The sequence below is a fragment of the Homo sapiens genome, chromosome 13 (genome assembly GCF_000001405.40).
Source record: "Homo sapiens chromosome 13, GRCh38.p14 Primary Assembly".
Classification (NCBI taxonomy): domain Eukaryota; kingdom Metazoa; phylum Chordata; class Mammalia; order Primates; family Hominidae; genus Homo; species Homo sapiens.
The window spans coordinates 77,575,968-77,595,766 of record NC_000013.11 but is presented as its reverse complement, the minus strand read 5'-3'; the positions used below and the strand labels follow the sequence as shown (position 1 = coordinate 77,595,766).

Below are 19,799 nucleotides of genomic sequence, written 5' to 3'. Positions count from 1 at the left end.
AAAAAATTAATGCTCTATCCTTGTGTGTGACAAACACTACCCAGTCCCTTGACACAGTAACCCATTACTGTTTCTTGCTTGATATTCTACCCACTAACTCTGAGACTAACAATCTGTTCATGTCCCCAAGGGAAAGAGCAAACCCACGAGTCCTATAAATTTTAGCCCCAGGCTTTCCTGACTGGCATGAGTCACAATGATGAGATTATCAGGATTTGGAGTTGCTTTATCCCAAGAAAATTAGCATAAATCATGAGAAGACACTCTGTGGCAAATTAAATAAAATGGATACTGTATTCCAAATAAAAAACTTAAGCTTTCAAAATGACTTTAAATTGATGAAAGCTTTGGATATTAAGTTTCACCATTGCATTTGTAACAAATTAAATGCTCTTAATCAGATAGCAGTAACATTCCATTTCACAAAGAGCAGCTCGGATAACTAAAGCCATTTCTACTCCCTGTGGATGGTCCAAAGAAACAATACTCTATGATGACTACCATGAACATTTTTCCTGATCCCTGTCAAGCAGCAACTTCTCTCTGTGATAAATGTACCTGGCTGTGGAATTTGAGCATTATGGCTAGGGAGCAGGGACAGGAAAGTTAAACTAACTGCCTCTCTGACAGTTTTTATTTGATTTACACCAAACCATAATTTCCCTTCAGAGTCACTCACTTATCTGTTTCTCAGATATCCCGATCACCCACCAAACCACTGTCTAATCCCTACTGGAAACAAAATATTACCTGCAACAGAAATAAATCAATAAAATTAGAGATCTAGACACTTCAATGAGGGAAGACATGGAAATGAAACATTCAGGACAATTTCTATAGACTCTGTCTGGATTCAGAGCTCCTATTTTGTTTATGAATTTGCACAGAAAAGCCAAGTGTCACATTTTCTTCTCTTCAATTCTTTTGACAGAGACTGCAATCTCTAACAACACTCTTAGCATTACTAAAATCTATTAAACAAGGAATATTTTTGAGAGCTTTGGACTTAAACAATGGAATATTATGATTTTACCATAATCTATTAAACACTGTGTACAAAGCATCATGTCACACACTGTAAATGGCAAATAAGACAAAATATCTGCCCTGAGAGACTATAGAGATGATAGAGAAGGTAACACACTTATGCAAATAACAGGAAACAAAACTGAGTATGATTCGCTCTTATAAAATATGAATAGTGCAACTCTAAGTGCTAATAGAGGCAGAAGTCACATCTCACTGGATCACTCAGGGAAGACAACAGAGAAGGTGCCACTTGATCCAGATCTTGAACAATGGGCAGGGCTTGGATGGATTGGCATGGTGGCTTGAGGCTGGAAAAGGCTACCATGTGGTATAAACAAAGCCAGAGTATTTGGAAACTACAGAGAGAAAATGGTTTCCCTTGATATGAACGTAGGATAAATATAGGAGTGAAAACAGAAATAACTGGAATGTGAGGCTGGAGCCAGGTTCGCAAGGGCTTTGAATGAGGTTATATGCCATTGAATGGGCAATGTGGATCTGGTTCAGTGATTGAGCAGAATCTTTGGAAAAATTATGGCATTGATGGGTGATAATAGTTTAGTGGAAGGAAAGCCTGAAGAGTGTAAGTAAAGCTGAATAACTACTCTAATAATCTGTGAAGGAGTCAATGAGGTTTTAAACTAGGGGAAATCCGTGTACACATGAGGGACATTTTAGATGTTTAATTCGTGCATGCATGATACTACTTAAGGGGAAGGGGAAGGAGAAGGAAGAATCAAGAATTATTCCAGAAAGGTGAGTCTGCAGGAATTCAAGAACAGAGAAGTGAGGAACAGCACATTTGGGAAGGAATTTGGATATGACCTTGGACATCCTGAGGGGTGGTGCTAGGAGATGAGTGGAGATCTGGACCAGCAACATAAATACAGGACTGGATATTTGGAATGAGGCTTGACAGCTGAGGTCACTGGGTGAGTAAAATTGCCAGAAAAAGCAGCAGAGTTGGAAGAGTGTCCATAAATGTTGGCACCATCCACTATTCAGGAATACTTATCTGGAGAAACTGATGCTTTCTTATTTTAAATTATATACGATATACAGCACTAGGATTTTGTTCATATTTGGAACTTTTAAAGGTGTGGTTAAGCATTTTTGAAACACCAGGGAAGATAAAACCCAAGCTCAAAAGCTCTGAGATCTCACCCTTTGTCACTTCTCTGAAGTGAAGTGGCCACTTTGACGATGTTATCAAGATCCTGACTCCTTCAAACAATGAAAAATAAATACAGGTCAATGATAGTCGAGCTATTTTTGAAGGAGCTAAAATTTCTCATTTGTTTTCAGTAAATAAAGTAAATAGTCTAGGTGGTGTTCAGGAATTACTGAGTTTAACAGAATGACAAAATGGTTCTATTATGTCAGCTCATGGCACACAGAGACACACACATCCCCCACTGACACACACACACACACACACAGACACACACACACACACACACACACACACACACACACACTCCCCTCTGTTATTCCACCTGGGTGTTGGCTCTGCCATCTAGTGCTCACTGAAATAACTACATTTTCTCCTGAAGACTTGTATTGCCAGCTCCCAGGTTCTATGTTACAAAAAGGACATAGAAAACAAAATCCATTTAACTGACAAGTAAACACAGAAGTGAGTTCAAAAGGTTTTCTACCAGAACCAAGCAGCATTAAGCAACAGATACAATTAATTAATTAATTATTCCTTTTCACCCTAAAGGGGTGAAAATGTTTGTCTTCTCAGACTCTAGAATAGGTGGAAGCACCTGAGCACATAGAGGGCTCATGTATTCCAAATCAGATCAATGCCAATATCCCTGGATCATAAAAGGAACAATTAGGAAAATTCTTATAGTAATTAAGAACTGTGGGCTGGGTGTGGTGGTTCACACCTGTAATCCCAGAACTTTGGGAGGCCAAGGAAGGAGGATCCCTTGAGGCCAGAAGTTTAAGATTAGCCTGGGCATCAAAGGGAGATCCCCATCTCCACATACAAATTTCTTTTTAAATTAGCTGGGTGTGGTGGCCTGTGCGCGTAGTCCCAACTACTCAGGAGGCTAAGGCAGGAGGATCTCCTGAGCCCAGGAGTTTGAGGCTGCAGTGAGCTATAAGTTCTCTGCTGCACTCCAGCCTGGGTGACAGAGCAAGATCCTGTCAAAAAAAAAAAAAAAAGGAAGAAGAAGAAGAAGAAAAGAAAAGAACTCAGTATCTCATAGATGGTTAATAAGGTTCCATGAAGAAAGGATTTTGTAGCCAAGTAAGTTGGGAAATGTAACCGACTTTTGCTGATTTGGAATACACATAAGCACACTAAAGATTCTGAAAAGTTCTGTGGCAGAAAACTCTATTAAACTGTGTTTCCTAAATGTAGTGAAACACTGAACTCTTCTTTTGCAGAACATGCATTGACATCCTGTGGCACATAGAACACAGGTTGGGGAATGCCAAGAGTGGTGCTGTAAGCTCCTCAGAACAAGGGAAACATGACTTTCTCCAAAGAAGAGAATACATGTGATGTGTCTTTTAGAATGGCACTCTTCTGAAAGTCAAACGGGGATAATATAAAAAATGAAAAGTATATAAGTTTTAAACTTCAAAGTAATTTTTTCAGTCATAAAAATCTTTTGACTGAAAAATTATCATATTGATAGACCTATAAAATTGCACTGTTTAAAAACTATTTTCAAAAAGTAATTTTTTTCCTTAGAAAAGGGAGAAAAAGAAGACACATCCAGAACAAATGCTAGACTAAATAGGATGTGCAAGACAACAAGCATAAATTAGAAGTGTAAATCGGGAGACCAGACATTTGGGGAATGCCACCTTACCCTCCCCCCCGACGACATTTGGTGAATGTCCCTTAACAAATGGCATCAATGTGCTTCTTCCTGATGCTGCAGGATTTTGTAACACAAGTTCAACTGAACAACTGTATTTCCACCTCTTTATACATCCACACCAACTATATCATAGACCTCAGAGCAGGTCCTGGGAATAAAGAGGTGAGCAAGCTTTCCTGCCTTTAGTGGGTTTGATCTTATCCTGTTACCTTGTTCACACCATTTTGGTAGTTTTCTTAATGGAAAGTTTGGGATAGAATTAAAAGGAACAAAATTCTGAAAGTGCCTACAAAAACATTTATTAATATTTTGGAGTCAGTTGGAAAACTGATTTTGTCTACCTTATTATTAATTGCCTTGCATTTTTTAATGTGCTGAGAAAGCATACTTTATCATTACTACAGTTACATAGATATAAATAGAAATCAGTGTACCTTATATTTCTTTCAGCAGATCTGTTGGTTTCTGTATATACACCTGGTTTAGGTGGATGTATCTGCCTATATTTTCAAAGTTAGAAGATTATATCAGTCAGAAAAGAAAACACTTTTTGATAAATTGAAATTTATTTTAAAAAATTTATGTACAAAAAGATCAGTGTTTGTTGGAACCATAACACTACCTGAGATAACAAACTTAAATTCTTTGGGTTGGCGGGAACTCCAGTATACTGAGTTTGTAATTTAATCTATCTTTATCGCATATTTGTAAACCACTGGATCTATCTAGACTTATAAGTTCTAAATATGTTTATGTTGTTTTTTGTTCTCCATCAATAAAGCATTTTCATACTTATCTCTATCAGATAATGATATAACATTTTAAAATATTAATTTTTGTTATGGGCATCAAAGGGATTTTTTTCTTAAAGAATTATCCCATTTGAATACTATCAAGAAATATATTTGTTCATAAAAGGTGGGAAGAAGAGTCTATGTTTCAAGTACACCTACTACATTGGGAATGACCATACTAAGCTGACAGAATTAAATTTTATTATGTTAGGTTCTGGCACAATTTAAGACTTTTCTCTACTCTTTTTTAAAGTATCTGGTTGACCTACTTATACATTCCTACTTGTTCTCAAGAAGCTATATTCGACTATTTTTTGTACTCCTGAGGACATGTGTTAATTACATAGGAAACACTTCCATTTCATATTCTTTCATTAAAATCATCTTGCTGTGATTAAAGTAGTCAGGACTTTAAAAAAACATGCAAGTTGTCCCAATTTTATTTTTTAGATCATTGGTAGAATAAAGAAATTTGAGTAGTAAGTTCCTGTGAAATTTAGCTTCCTTTAAATTTAAACAAGCTTGTAGCTCTAGTGATGCTGATTTTAGATTAGAATATCGGTGGTACTAAGGCCAATTAATTTTAGCCCCTTAAAACAATTCTATTCAAATTGGGATTTAATTGCTCAATACTAGAAGAGTTAGAGGAAAAATAATGTAAGATTAAAAAGCTTGAGAAGATATTTTTAAGAGATCATTATAACCATCATACAAACAAAAAGTTATAAATCTGATCTATATTTTTAATTAGTTCAGTGAAGAAATATTCTCTTGACTCAATTTAAAAAATTATGCTCTCATCCTATGGACAAAATTTCAAAGATCCTGTGCAGTTTCACTGAACAGAAATTCAAACCTGGAGTTTTAACACCTATTGCTACATGGTCCTGCTGCCCAGTCAAAACTTTGTAACTGAAGTTACTCTCTTAATGAAGAATATTTCTATAATTGTGTCTACTAAAAAGTAGTTCTATGGTTGTGTCTTATTAAAGAATAGTTTCATAATTGTGTCTTACGTGGTGTCAAAAAAATCACCATCGAAGAGCAAAAATACAAAAGAAGCAACAGTAGGCAATCAAGGAGATGTAATGTAGTCAATCTCCGTTGAGTTACTATTTTTTAATCTCACAATAATAATGGAAATGTGGGGTGTACATCTTGAAAAATTGTTCAAGATATATTAAACAGTTTAAATGTAACACATGGGAAGAGTTCAGATCTCTGAATTTGTTTCCAAGTATTAATTATAGAGTGACAGAGATTCAAAGCTGAGAAGCAAGTCTATTTTTCCTGATTCAGAGACAAGTCAATTAGAACATCTTTCAAAATTTGTGATAGTTTTGAAATAAATTACAAATCCCTTCAGTAAAAAAAGATTAAAGAACTACTCAAAGGTATTTGTAACATAAGCAAGGATTTGAGTGGTAACACAAAGTTTCAAGAACATCGTTCATCAGAATCTGTATCTCTTAGTGGGAAACTTAACTTGGAACAAACATGAACAAAAAATACATTTTTAATATGGTTTATATGTATATTATATGTGATACATGTCAAATACATATATGTATTTATATTTGTATATTAGGAGCAAATATATAAAAAGTCTGTGTACAAACACTTTCTGAACATGAATATTGTTCCATTTTTATCTTGAAGGCATATTTTCTTAAGACAAGTTAGCCATTAGTATTCAAAGACAAACATAAATAAACATATGTGTTGGGAAATAAAATTAGAAAAAGTTCTACAGGCGCTTCTTTAGGGAATGTGCACACAAAACATTCATGCTTTGCCCACAGCGGGTCACAGTCCATTTACTTTCATTTCCCTTGAACTTCATTTTGTCAAGAAATTCTGGAGTACTAGGTCTTACCTATTATCCTGTCTCAGCTGGTTAGGAGAAGAAACAGGAGAACTGGGCTTTGGAGGTATTGGAGGGTGAACACCTGGTTCCCTTTAAAACAGAAAACAGCAGTTCATTTCACCATGGAAACATGGTAAATTTTAGCATCTATTAACTGAATGCATTTATTGCCTACATAAAAATATCCTTTGCATCTTACAACCCCCATGTGTGAGGTACCTGAAAGGTCAGAATCCATGGAGCACTAAACTTTAAAGAAGTCAAATATTGAAAATATGTGTATTTTTAAAGTTTATTTAATCAGGTTCTTGAAAACCCAATCCTCTTTCACTATAGTTTGGACTATACTATGTTCTTTAAATAACTCAATATTTTGCTAGTATATCTAGCTCTAGTCATGGCATTTCAGGTCAGCAGTGCATGAGAACTGTAAATGGTCCTTGGGTATTAATATATAAGCTTCTTTGGGGATTATGTCAACTATCAGGCTGCTATGGAAACAGCAAGAAAAGGCTTTAATTTCAGAGACCTCAAGGTAGCATTGATTTGAAGCTCTTAACTAAATCTGACTTAAATATTGTCAGCACAGGCCACTTTGATGCTGACAAAGCATATATACAATCTACCGTCAGCCTAAACTTTCCAATGAAGCACCACAGCAGTCTCTGAGTTGGCAGGACTTAATGAGGTAGGAACTGGAGATGGGCAATTATGTGCACATTTTGGATGGAGTCAGCACCTTACTAAGAGTATGTCACTCCCCTGTGTTCCCCACCACTACCACCCCAGCAGTTCTCTATTTGTCCTCAACATAAACTCTGTACCTGGTAAAAGAACCCTCTGATCCTGTGTACCCTTCTGGCTTCTGTAGCAATGGTAGATAGGCATGTGGGCTAGAGTCAGGCTGCCTGAATTGCCAGCTGTGTGGTAACAGGTTAACTTGATTCTGTTTCTTCATCTGTAATAATCTTTCTAATAGGATTGTTGGGGTATTGTCAGGACTGAATGAGATTGTGTTTTTACTCAACAAACATTTATTGGTAGCTTTCTATGTGCAAGGAAGGCTCTCTGTGAGCTGGGTAATGTCCTTGTTCTCAAAGGCTTTCAATATACAAATAAATATATGTCAGAAGAAGAAAAGTGCTGTGCAAATAATAATAATAATAAAACAGAATAAGGAGATATAGACTGATGGAATGGGAAGATTATTTTATTTAGAATGGACTGGGAAGGTCTCTCTGTCAGGTGAAATTTGAACCAAGACCTGCAGGAAGTAATAGAGTAAGCCATGAGGCTATCTGGAGAAAAAGCATATAAATACAGCCATCATTAGCTTAGAGATGGTATTTAATGCTTTAAACTGGCAGAGATCACTAAGGGAGTCAGTGTAAGTAGAGACAAAAAGAGGGCCAGGGGTTGGACCTTCAGGCCCTGCAATATTTAGAGGTCAAGAATATGAGATGAAAACAGCAAAAGAATCAGGAGGAGTGGCCAAGAAGGAAACAAGAGTAATAGAAGGGCGTGGCATCCCAGAAGCCAAGCGAGAAAAGTTTCAAGGAAAGAGTACTTGGCCATTTCAGATGCTACTGTTAATCAAATAAAAACAAGGACTGGGAAATTACCATGGTTTGGCCAACAGAGTGGTCTTTGGTCACCCTGATAAGAGCAGTTTTGATGGAACGATGGTGGGAAAAGAAAAAAAAATCATACGAGTGGATTTAGGAAAAAATGGGGAAGCAAGGAGATAGAGGCATTGAGGCAGTTTGGCAGTAAAGTAGGAAGACAGAAATGGGTAGCTACTTCGAGGCTGATGGATCGAGGAAGGTTACTACAGCATGTAGGTATGATGATGGGAATGATCCAGTGAATCATTGATGCAGGAGAGAGAGGGGGAAATCACTAGACAGATGACTTTGAGAATTGATGGGACCTAAGGCACAGGGTGGTGGTTGATCTTAGATGGAAGTACAGAGGGCTCATTCACAGCAGCAAGAGGGAAAGAACTAGATGAGTATAGCTGGGGTACGTTCATTGACTCAGAGTGAGGAAGGTTCTCTTTTGTTTACTTCTATTTTCTCAGTAAAATAACAATCAAGATCATTGATTCAAAGTGAGGAGGTTGAGTAGGGATTAGGACTGTGTGAGAAAGAAAGAGGCGGAGAAAATGTGTGAAATGGTTTTCTAGGCAAGCAGAAGAGTAAGTGGACCCAGGAAACGTAGTAAGATGGTGATGATGATGATGTACTATTATATGGGGTCATTATGTGCCAGAAACTTTTCTAAGCACTTTACATATATTAACTAATGAAATCCTCACTGCAATCCCAGACATAAGTATTATTCTTCTTCCCATTTTACAGATTAAAACACTGAAGCACAGAACATAAAGATAAATATCTCATGATGATGCAGCTCATAAGGGGCAGAGCTGGGAATCTGAAAGGGAAAGTCTGGCTGCATAAACCCTCCAAATGCTGTGCTGTCTCTTGAAGGATCCTTGGGCCATACCAATGGCTCAGTTGAGGTTAGTACTCATGGGCTTAAAATCAGGTTATTTGGCATTGTTTCCTCTTGCCATATTCAACTGGTTGGGGAGGAGGAACAGAATAGACTGAGAGTTGGATTTACCATTAGCCACGTTTACAATTCAGCCAAGTGAGTGCAACAAAGAGAATGATGGCAAGGGAGTGGAAGGGGTCTTCAAGGAAGGGGTTACAATGGGGGCTGTGGAGTTTGAGATGGGCATGGAGGGAAATGAGAATATGAGTAGTGGGGACTGTGAAAAAACTGGTAGAATTAATGGACTGGTGATTGTGATGGGGCTGAGGAATTCCTGGAATCAAAGGACTGAAGGGAGTGAGCTGGACAGAGAGAAAGCGGGAGCCAGAGAGGGAAAGCTTTGAAGTAGAAGTCTTGTAATTTTGTAGGGTATGTGGTTATTTACAGGGCAAGATCTATCAATGGCTGCAGTAGTGGGAAGAACAAGATCATCGGGGAGAAGGTCACAAAGGTGAGTGGTCGGGGAGGGGAAGGATCCTCTGCATGGATTTTGAAATCACCAAGCATTATGACAAGAGGAGGGTTTGGGAAAGACAGTGAGCGTGGTGCTGAAGTCTTCAAAGAATGAGTGTGAGTGTCTCAGAGACCTTCAGATGACTCCAACAAAGATGAGAAGCTCACAAGGGCATGGCTTCAAAGGAGATGGAGAGTTTCAGGGAGGAGGGAGTTAAAATTAACAGCAGGTGGTGATGAGAAGCAAACAAGACCCCTACCTTCATCCGGACCCTGTGATATGTCAGTTTAGAGGGAAAACAGCCCTTATTGAGAGACAGGCTGTGGAAGCAGGGTCCTCTGGAAGAGCACAACAAAAAGGTGGGAGATCATTCAGAGGGGAGGCTGAAGAGTGGAGGATTTTGGCAATGACAAATGACACGCTCAGCAAGGTGGAGTGGAAGGGTTTGAGAGCTCAGTGTGATATTAGGTTGGGTCAGGTTCAGGGAGGTACAGAGCTCTGTGGAGATGGTCCAGGTGATAAGAAATGACCTGACTGGGGTTTCAATGAGGGTCTATGGAAAGGACATAATGGAATGAGTCCTGAGAACTTTCAGCAGAGTGGTGGTGAGGCCGTGGGTGATGGATAGTGGAGCACCAAGCATGGTGGGTCTCTTGGCTCTCATGTTGATGGTGACATTGAAGCCAGAAGAGCGCGCACATGCTTGGCTTCCACACAGGAAATAGTGTCTTTTGCTGTAGTGGTTGTTGTTTTCACCCCACATGACCCCAGGGCTGCAGATGTGACAAACTCTTACCCTTCCTAATGCACCCCACCATATTCTCTCCCCGCTGTGGAGCACCTCCTTCTTCCCTTCACCTGGAAATTCTCTCCTTGCCCTTCAGACTTTGGTTTAGGAGTATCTATCTCCAGTGATACCCAAAGCCATGCTATATACATCCCTACATTCCCCCATAACAACCCTATTCACAGCACATATCACACTATTCTGGATTACACATGATATTCTGTTCCCACACTGAACTGAAAGTTCCTAAAAGGACAGCTATATCCCAAGTACTAGGATTGTGTATGGCATAAGAATGAAGGAGGAAGTGATTGGCTGAATTTCTTTGGCAGGGAGGAAATGGGTACCAAAGACGGATTTGCAACTTTCAAAATCTGTGCAAGTTTAGCTTCCTCATAGGAGAATTCCACTGTCAATCCCATTACAGAACACCTACTAGGTGCCAGGTACTTGGCTGAATCATTCTGTTGTGTGATATTTCTGGAAGAGCAATTTACATGGAAATAGTCTTCCCATCCTGGCTTAGTGGCAGATTCTACAGTATTTTGTTTGTATTGCCACCATCTTCTTTTCTCGGAAAATATCCTTGTGTTGGGTGTATGCATCAAGTGATACAGTCTTTAGTGTATCTGTGTGGATTCATTGGTTACATGCTTTCCTTCCAGAGGCAGAGGAAAGGGGGAAGGAGGTGATCAGTCCTGGGTAATAATGAGGCTGTACAGAACACTAGATGTCTGAGGACAGGCAGGAAAGAGGTAACAAGGTGGAAAGGAGGATTACAAAAAATAGAAATGGGATGGTGCCAAGCTTTACTTATGTTACAGTCATGTTAATGACATACTCAATTTCTTCCATTTTAAAATGTCTAGGGCCTCAAAGAGGTGGGTAAATATGGATTGCGTGGATCAGGGGAGTAGAAGTAGATCTGAAATGGTCTGGAGAATACGCAGGAAAGGGAAAGATGGATGTGCAGTTATGAAGGCCAAGAAAAGCAGAGAAGCATGTTTATTTCCAAGGGTGATGCATTTACACCCCTGCTGGGCCAGGAGCCAGGCGATGCCATGTTGACTTCCATTTACCTCAAAGGAGCTTTCATTTGCATCACTGCAATGACAGCCACAGATGACAGAACTCAAGCCCTGGGGTGGGGCGGGCAATGAGAGGAGTCATTCATGTCGTGCCAGGAGCATGATGTGATGCCAAGCAGGGGGATTAAAATGCAAGAGCGAGGCAGGAAGCTGTGGCCAGAACGTTCTGAAGAGAAGGAAACAAGAGACATTCATTGGAATGATCTTCATTGAATTCTGCTTTGAGATGCGATGTTTAAGCTTGGGTAAGTTGACCCTGGCTCTCCCCTTCACCCATCCCCAGACCCCTCAAGGGTCCTGCAGGATATATGCCACCACACTAGTGGCTATCATGATGAGCTTTCAGGAATAAAAAACGTGGATTTCACGAGAAACATGTGAACACTTGCAGACTGTAGCTCAAAGGCCAAAGCTAAAAGAAATAACACTGTAAAGAAAGCTGTCTATATTACTTCATTTCCATATGCTGCTGCAAATATCACGTCTTTCCTCATGGCTTTTTTGCATAACATGCTTGGCTCTGTGACTTCTGTTTGAGTCTGGCTGTGTGAACATGTCTATTACTGCAGCACAAATCTAGGTTGAACACAGAATCATTGTCTCTAATATTTAACTGTGAATTTTGTTTTCACTTTCTATTGTGCTTAGCCAGGGTTTCAAACTGGTCTTTCTGATGTTAAATCCCTTGTTTTTTCTCTATATCATACTGTAGACAACCAATTCTCTTCCAGGTATTTTCACTGCGAATCTATTAAAAATTGGTTGATCTGAAATATTTCCTTGCTCAAAAAGCACTTACTCCACAACTGCCCCATTCATAATGTTAGGACACACAACAGTATATGAGCCGTAACTGGGCAGTCAAAGACTAGAAAAGATGTAGTCCATGCCTTCGAAGAGCTTGGAGAATGCAAGGCACATGTTCAAAAGAATGGTTACTGTGATGATGCCTCGCTTTCTAGTGGCCAGTCAGTAAACCATAACCTAGTAATGGAGCTTGCACTGGACTAGAATTCTAGAGATCTAGATTCTAGATTCTAGGCTAGCTTTGCCACCAACTTTCTCTTTGACTCTGGAAAAAGCTCTGTTACCCTCCAAAACTCTGCTTATTTGTCTATAAAAGGAGGAGATTGGCTCAGATCTGTGGAAGGTAAACCACTACATGAATAAGGGAGGGTGGCGCTATTGCAGGGAATCCTCCACTCCACAAGTACCTTGACGTTCATGTACTGTGCTTTTTAAAGGTATGTAGATGCTGTTGTGGTTAATAAAATTTAAATTTAAGTTGGCTCTATAAGAACATGAGTCAACTTTTATTGGTCAGTAGATACAAAGATACACAAATTTAAGTATTGCTTAAGTCATAGCAGCTTTTTGTCCTTAGATGTTTTCTCAAAGACATAAAAATATTTCAACTATTATCAAGTGAACTAAAAAAAAGTTAGCATTACTAACGAGTCTACTCAAAATGGATCACACATCTATATGTCAAACATAAAACTACAAACTTTTAGAAGAAAACAGAAGAAATTTTTGTGATCATTAGTTAAGCAAAGAGTTCTTAAACATAATAACAAAAGCATAATTTATTTAACAAAGCTTGATAAATTGGATTTCATTAAATTAAAAAAACACTTTGGCTCTCAAAAGTGCATCGTTAAGAGAATTGAAAAACAAGCCACACACTGGAAAAAATATTTGCTATTCACATATCTGACAAAGGACTTCCAAGCACAATGTATTTTTTGAAACTCTCAAAACTCAGCAATAAGTAAACAAACCAGCAGGAATAAAATGAGCAAATGATTTAAGATACTTGGGCCTACAGGATGGTTCAGACCTGTAATCCCAGCACTTTCGGAGGCCGAGGCAGGAGGATCATCTGAGGTCAGGAGTTCGAGACCAGCCTGACCAACATGGTGAAACCCCGTCTCTACTAAAAATACAAAAATTCAGCCAGGCGTGGTGGCACGCACCTGTAGTCCCAGCTACTCAGGAGGCTGAGGCATGAGAATCACTTGAACCCAGGAGGCAGAGGTTGCAGTGAGCCGAGATCACACCACTGCACTCCAGCCTGGGCAACAGAGTGAGACTCCATTTCAAAAAAATATTTAACAGATACTTCACCAAGGAAGATACACAGATGACAAACAAACACATGCAAACATATGAAAAGGGTGTATATAATGTGTGATTCCATTATATGACATTCTGCACATAGCTAAGAGAGGAGACAGAGAGATGAGAGGACAAAGATGGGCTGCCTAGTATGAAGACAGTCCCAAGCAAAATGTTGGTCCTTTCACCCCCATCCCCCACTCCCATTGTCCTCTCCCAAACCCTACACCACAGCATGTCCCTATCACCTATACTTCACTGTACTCAGGCCTCCCTGCCTCCCAGTCTTCTTCCTCCAAAGCCATCTTCCACTCCCCTCCACACAATGCAAGCCTCCATTCCCTCAGCATGCTCTAATTCTGCCCAGTTTTAGCAGGAAAGAAACCTGGTTTATATAACTGACACTAAGATTTGAATGACCAGAGACAGTCCCTTTAACCTGCCATGCTTCTAATTGAGGTGAAATTTACAATCTCTAGTCGATAGAACTTCCAGCAATACTAGGAGAAATGGTGAAATAATTTTTTAAAAAATCAAATTATTTGGTTTTTATGATTGGAGCAAGGTGACGTTTTTGACAGAGTGCTTGACCCTAGGTATCCTGATTCTCCTAGCTTCTTTCTTTATCCTACTTTTGAACCTAGAGCTTCCCTGCTTCCTCATATTTCCAGGAGCCCCCCTGGCAGGGGCGGAGGCAACAAGAGCTCCAAGAGAGGGAGGAGAGGTGGGAATCTGGGTTGGGCAAAGCAGCGATGCTTTGCATTTGTTGTTCAAATGTATGAGTTACTTCAAACTAGTGTTAGGAAATCAGGGACTGTCTAGGTTGTTCCCATAGGACTGAAGAAAAAATAATTCATTGCTAAAGGTTAAGACCTTCATTTACAGATTGCGAATTAGGTTTCTCCTTGTTCTGTTCAAACAACACATTTTAAAAATAATAAACTTAAACTCAGGCTAATATTTTAATTATTTTGAATGTTTAGAATGAGCAATCTAGGCATTCAGGTAAGATTTTTAAATCACTGTATTTTGATATTTTATTGCGTGTCATAGAATCTTAATTTCTACAAAAGAGATTCCAGTTAATATAAATATTTTTTTGTTGAGATAAAAATAAGATGTATTGCTTTTATTTAGCATGACATCAAACTTTGTAGAGGATTTGGTACCAATAGAGTTAAAAATGTTGCAGCATAATTAGAAAGGTTACATTTTACCATTTATAGTTACAGACAGAAAAATATAACTGTAGTGCAAGGTTGCCATGGCAACTCACTTCTCAATCAGGATATTTTTTTCCTCCTCCAAGTCTACCAATCAGCTAACAGGAAGTGAAATAACCACTGAAGGAGAAGAGGTCAAAACAAATAAGGATGAGAAATTATGTAGAAAATATTTATATGGTAATTTTCCCAGATGCGTTTCTACTACTTTAATTTTATCAAATATTATTTTCTTTTCTATCTTTAAAAATGATTCCAGAAAAAAAGCACATTCATTTCTAGTGGTGGCTTCATTATTGTTCCTAAATGAGAATAATGAATAACATTCATAAATATTCATACTGTCTGTTAAGCAAGTACTTTAGTTTGGCTTCCATGAGGTTCTTAAATGAGCTTTACATGCCATTTAACCACTGAATCTCCAAGTCACCTAAATACACAGTTAGAATCATTTGAATTTACCAAAAACAGAATACAAAAATTTAATGGTAGGTTCTGAAATCAGAAAGAAATTCAACTTTCCAGAACTGTTATTTCTCTAGTTCCTTGTGATGCACCTGAATATTTCTCCAGATGGCTCCTATTATTCCCTCCATTGGCTCACGTCCGGCAAATGCTACCACTCTTTTAAAAGTCTCAAAAACAAGAAAGTGTTTAAGAACTTGAAAAATGAAGACATCCCCAAGTGACTGCTGACACGCTTTGCATCAGGCTTTCGGGCAGATCATAAAACAAAAGAAGTGGGAAGAGGGGAACATGGCTCTGACCTTCTAGTAATTTTCTACATTGATGACACTTGCACTTTCTTTTGTACATATTCCAAATCTACAGCATATGGTCAGAGCTCAAATTACATAACAGCACAACATTAACTCTTAAAATAGAAACATGATATTCTAAAAGGGTTCTTAGGCTTACCACAAATTATGAGTGGATATCTGCACACAGTGTCTTACATTAAAAGACATTTTCCCACATAACATCAGATTTGGAATTACTGGATTTCATGCTACCACTAAACATAATTGATAAAGGACAAATGCAGAGAATGTCCCATGGACAGGAAGCCTATAGTTCTATGCATACAAATACACTCACATACACACGCCCATACACACCGTACTCTCTGGCACTGGAACTTTGCTCCTCCTCTCCTTTCTGCCTGGAATGCCTCCATCCACACCTCCCCTTTGCATCTGGCTTACTCTTGCTTGCTGTTTAAGGCTTACCTCTGGCATTGCCTCCTTTGAGCCTACTCTACTCCAGATACAACGTCTACTGCCTCCCTCTCCACACTCCACATATTTTGTGTCTACCTTGACCTTTGTGTTTATCATACTCCCAAGGACCCTCCCTTGATGAGGGCCAGCCTTCAAGTTTAACAATCCTGGCTCAAAATGACTCCCTGGTAGAAGCTGAGTTTTCTCTCTGTACTCCTTTTTGTACTCCTGGCAGAGCCCAACAATTGTTTTGGAAAAAGAAAGAGACAGAGACAGGGAGAAACACAGAGAGGAAGAGAGAGAGGTGTTACTTAGCACATAGAATACAGCACAACTACAAAAAGACAAATAAGATAACAGGTTGAGGGAAATTCATTGTCTAGTAGATATTAAGAAATATTAAAATCAATCTATCAATCAATATGTACTTATTGACAAACTACAATGGATAAATTAACTTGATGATTCAAAGAGTTATAAGATGATGCCATTTAGTTGATGAGTACACTGCAATAATAAGTGATGTGTCAAAGTAATGCACAATTAATTGCTAAATGAGAATCAAAGATAATAAGCCTTCTGAGTCCAGATGACAAAAGTAACACCTTAGAGTATGAAAGCTTTCGGGAGGAAGTAAAATTCATGCCAGACTTCTTGAAGGATGGGTTGGTTTGAGATGGTAGAATCCATCGACCCACACTGCCTTCACCCTACCTACCTCTCATTACACCTTACCTTTACCATGTAACCTTAGCCCCCCAACACACCTAATGTACAGACATACATCAAAGTTCAACTTTCATTTTCTTCTCATTTAATCTTTTCTCAACAGGTATCTTCACTCTAAAGATACTACATTTTAAATCCTTGGGTTCATTCCCAAACCTAGATCTTTGGAACCTGCCTTTTACCTGAGCACACTCCTTCCTCCCCTGTAGCTGTTTATCTTTACTTGGGAATCACTGCTACAAATATATCCTGCCGGTGTCCCAGACTCTACCTGCTCAAAACAAAGCACAGTGTCAGCTGCTTAAGACCAATTAGGTACTCCCTATTCTGCTCCTATTTCTTCCCACATTGATTAGTGGCATTACCATGCTTAAAATCACCCTGGGCTTAAAAACCTAGCATTGTGTTACTTCTTTCCTTCCCCCAAATCCCACATCCCTTTGGGGACCTGATCTCTGAGTTCCCTGCTAGAAGCTCTTCCTACAACATCAGATCTCCCAGAGAATACTGATGTTCTTCTCATGCCCCCACAGTTGATCTTATGGTATGGTTATTTGTACATTCATATTCTCCAACGTTTGGGGCCAAAAAGGACCCAAAGCTCCTGCCACTTTTCAGAGTTCTCTGCTCTGGGACTCCCATCATGATGCTGAGTGACACCAACTAGACATGAAAGCCCTTTCTCTGATCCCTGCTCCCCCAGGAGTTCCTTCCCCCTCCTCCCTTTCTTGGTGGTGGTCTCTTTGCAGTTGCCTTTGGAGGTTCTCATGTGGTGAGTGACTCCCTCAGAAGCAAAACTTGTGAAAGCACCACCCAAATTAGGCTTGTGGTATGCCTCTGCTACCTCATGGTCATATCTTTTTTCTCCATCAGCACCCTAATCCCTGGAACTCGCTGCAATGATGATTGAATAAACACAGTAAGGAATACAAAGAGGTCCATGACAGCTTTGATGTTTTAAGTGTGGGTGTGACTGAATGACTGAATGACTACACAAGAAAAATTTAATTTTAAAAAGTAGCATAGAATGCCTCTCAAAAAGTGAATATGTTGTGTTTTGTTATGATAATAAGATTCTCTAAGGACAGGCTAGCGCAGGGAAAAAAACAAGGACTAAACTCCCTGGCATAAGTAGTTAACAGGAACTGGGGGGCTGGAGAGTGAAGGTGGAAGAAAGGAGTGAGGGGCTATTGAGCAAAACAGCAGCAGGTTAAGGCCTGCAGAGAAACATCAGCCAACAAGAAACGCCCAATAATAGGGATGGCCAATATTTCATTTTAGGTAGTTTGGTGTGGGCTTCTGCAATATATTGCTACCACTCCCACCATCCCATATCTTTATTAAGACCTTATCCAAGTGGCATTTGGACACATCAAGGAAACTATAGCTGGTTTAGTGTAGAGCTGAGAGAACAGGACAGAAGTAACATAGAAGCGAAATATTGAAGGGAAATCAGATCAAAACCTGGTGATATGGTTTGCCTCTGTGTCCGCACCCAAATCCCACCTCGAATTGTAGTCCCCATGAGCCCCATGTGTCAAGGGCGGGACCAGGTGGAGGTGATTGGATCATGGGGGCAGTTTCCCCCATGCTGTTCTAGTGATAGTGAGTGAGTTCTCAGGAGGTTTGATGGTTTTATAAGTGTCTGGCATCCTCCCCCGCTTGCCTTCACTCCATCCTGCCACCCTGTGAAGAAGGTCCCTGCTTCTCCTTTGCCTTCCTCCATGGTCATAAATTTCCTGAGGCCTCCCCAGCAAGGTGGAACTGTGAGTCAATTAAATCTCTTTCCTTTATGAATTACCCAGTGTCAGGTATTTCTTCATAGCAGTGTGGCAACAGAGTAATACACATGGCCATGCCCTTTCTCACCAGTTCTAGTCAAGAGAGTATTGGAAGTTCTGGCCAGCGTAATCAGGTAAGAGAAAGAAACAAAGCATATTTGAATAGAAAGAGAGGAAGTCAAATTGTTTTTGTTTGCAGATGACATGATCCTATATCTAGAAAACCCCATCGTCTCAGCCCAAAAGCTTCTTAGGCTGATAAGCAACTTCAACAAAGTCTCAGGATACAAAATCAATGTGTGAAAATCGCTAGCATTCCTATACACCAGCAACAGGCAAGCAGAAAGCCAGTCATGAATGAACTCCCATTCACAATTGCTATAAAGAGAATAAAATACCTAGGAATACAGCTAACAAGGGAAGCGAAGGACCTCTTCAAGGAGAACTACAAACCACTGCTCAAAGAAATCAGAGAGGACACAAAAAATTGGAAAAACATTCCATGTTCATGAATAGGAAGACTCGATATTGTGAAAATGGCCATACTGCCCAAAGTAATTTAGAGAGTCAATGCTATTCCCATTAAACTACCATTATAGGAGAATGAGATGGGGGACCAGGTTAGGATGAAGAAGTATGGATTTCATTTTGAACACATTGAGTTTCTGGTGTCTTTGAGACAATGGGCAGTGGGCTACCCAAAGGCAACTCAGAGAAGAGATCTGGAGTGGATATAAATGAAGAAGTGGCGAGCACACAAATGGCCGGTGAAACCCTGGAGCTGGATGCTGCTGTTGAAAGGCAGAGCACAGAACAAGAGGAGAAGAGAAGAGGGACTTGGAGCCTTTAGGAGCATCAATATTTAATGGCTTGATAGAAAATGATGAGGAAGCTGAGGAGACTAAGTAAGAAGGGCTGAGAAATCGAAAAAGAAAGAAAATCCAGCAGAGTGTGTTGGAGTGTGCTGGTTCTCGAAACACAATAAGAGAGATTTCATAAGGGCATAAAGAGTCAGTGGTGCCCTTTGAAGGGTCACAAGATCATACAGACTGATATAAGCAAGGTCATCAGTGACTTAGGGAGAGCTGTTTCCATGAACTAATGGTGATAGGAAGCAGAAAATGGAGATGAAAAGCATCATCAACTCTTCCGAGAATGTTGGCTGAGATGGAAAGAGAGGAAGGGTGTCAGCTGAGTAGGTTTGTAAGATTAGGCTATCAAATTTTTAGGAACTACATTTTTTAAGATGAAAGAGGTTTGAACATGGAAAATGGGGAAACCAGTGAAGCAGGAATTTGATCAGAGGT

General features: G+C 39.5%; 1 protein-coding gene across 25 annotated transcripts in view; it reads right to left on the bottom strand.

Annotated features, from left to right (window-relative positions):
• Positions 1-19,799, bottom strand: part of SCEL (sciellin) — a 109,558-nt gene that overhangs the window by 49,497 nt on the left and 40,262 nt on the right. For 20 of the 25 annotated variants that reach the window (NM_144777.3, XM_011535290.2, XM_011535283.2 and 17 more), the window contains 3 exons: positions 6,543-6,623; positions 4,307-4,372; positions 2,194-2,253 (listed from right to left, as the gene is read on the bottom strand). In NM_144777.3, coding sequence (NP_659001.2) covers positions 2,194-2,253; positions 4,307-4,372; positions 6,543-6,623 — 207 coding nt within the window. The remainder of the gene's footprint in view (positions 1-2,193; positions 2,254-4,306; positions 4,373-6,542; positions 6,624-19,799) is intronic. The other 5 variants (NM_003843.4, XM_047430709.1, XM_047430712.1 and 2 more) reach the window with 1 other exon arrangement.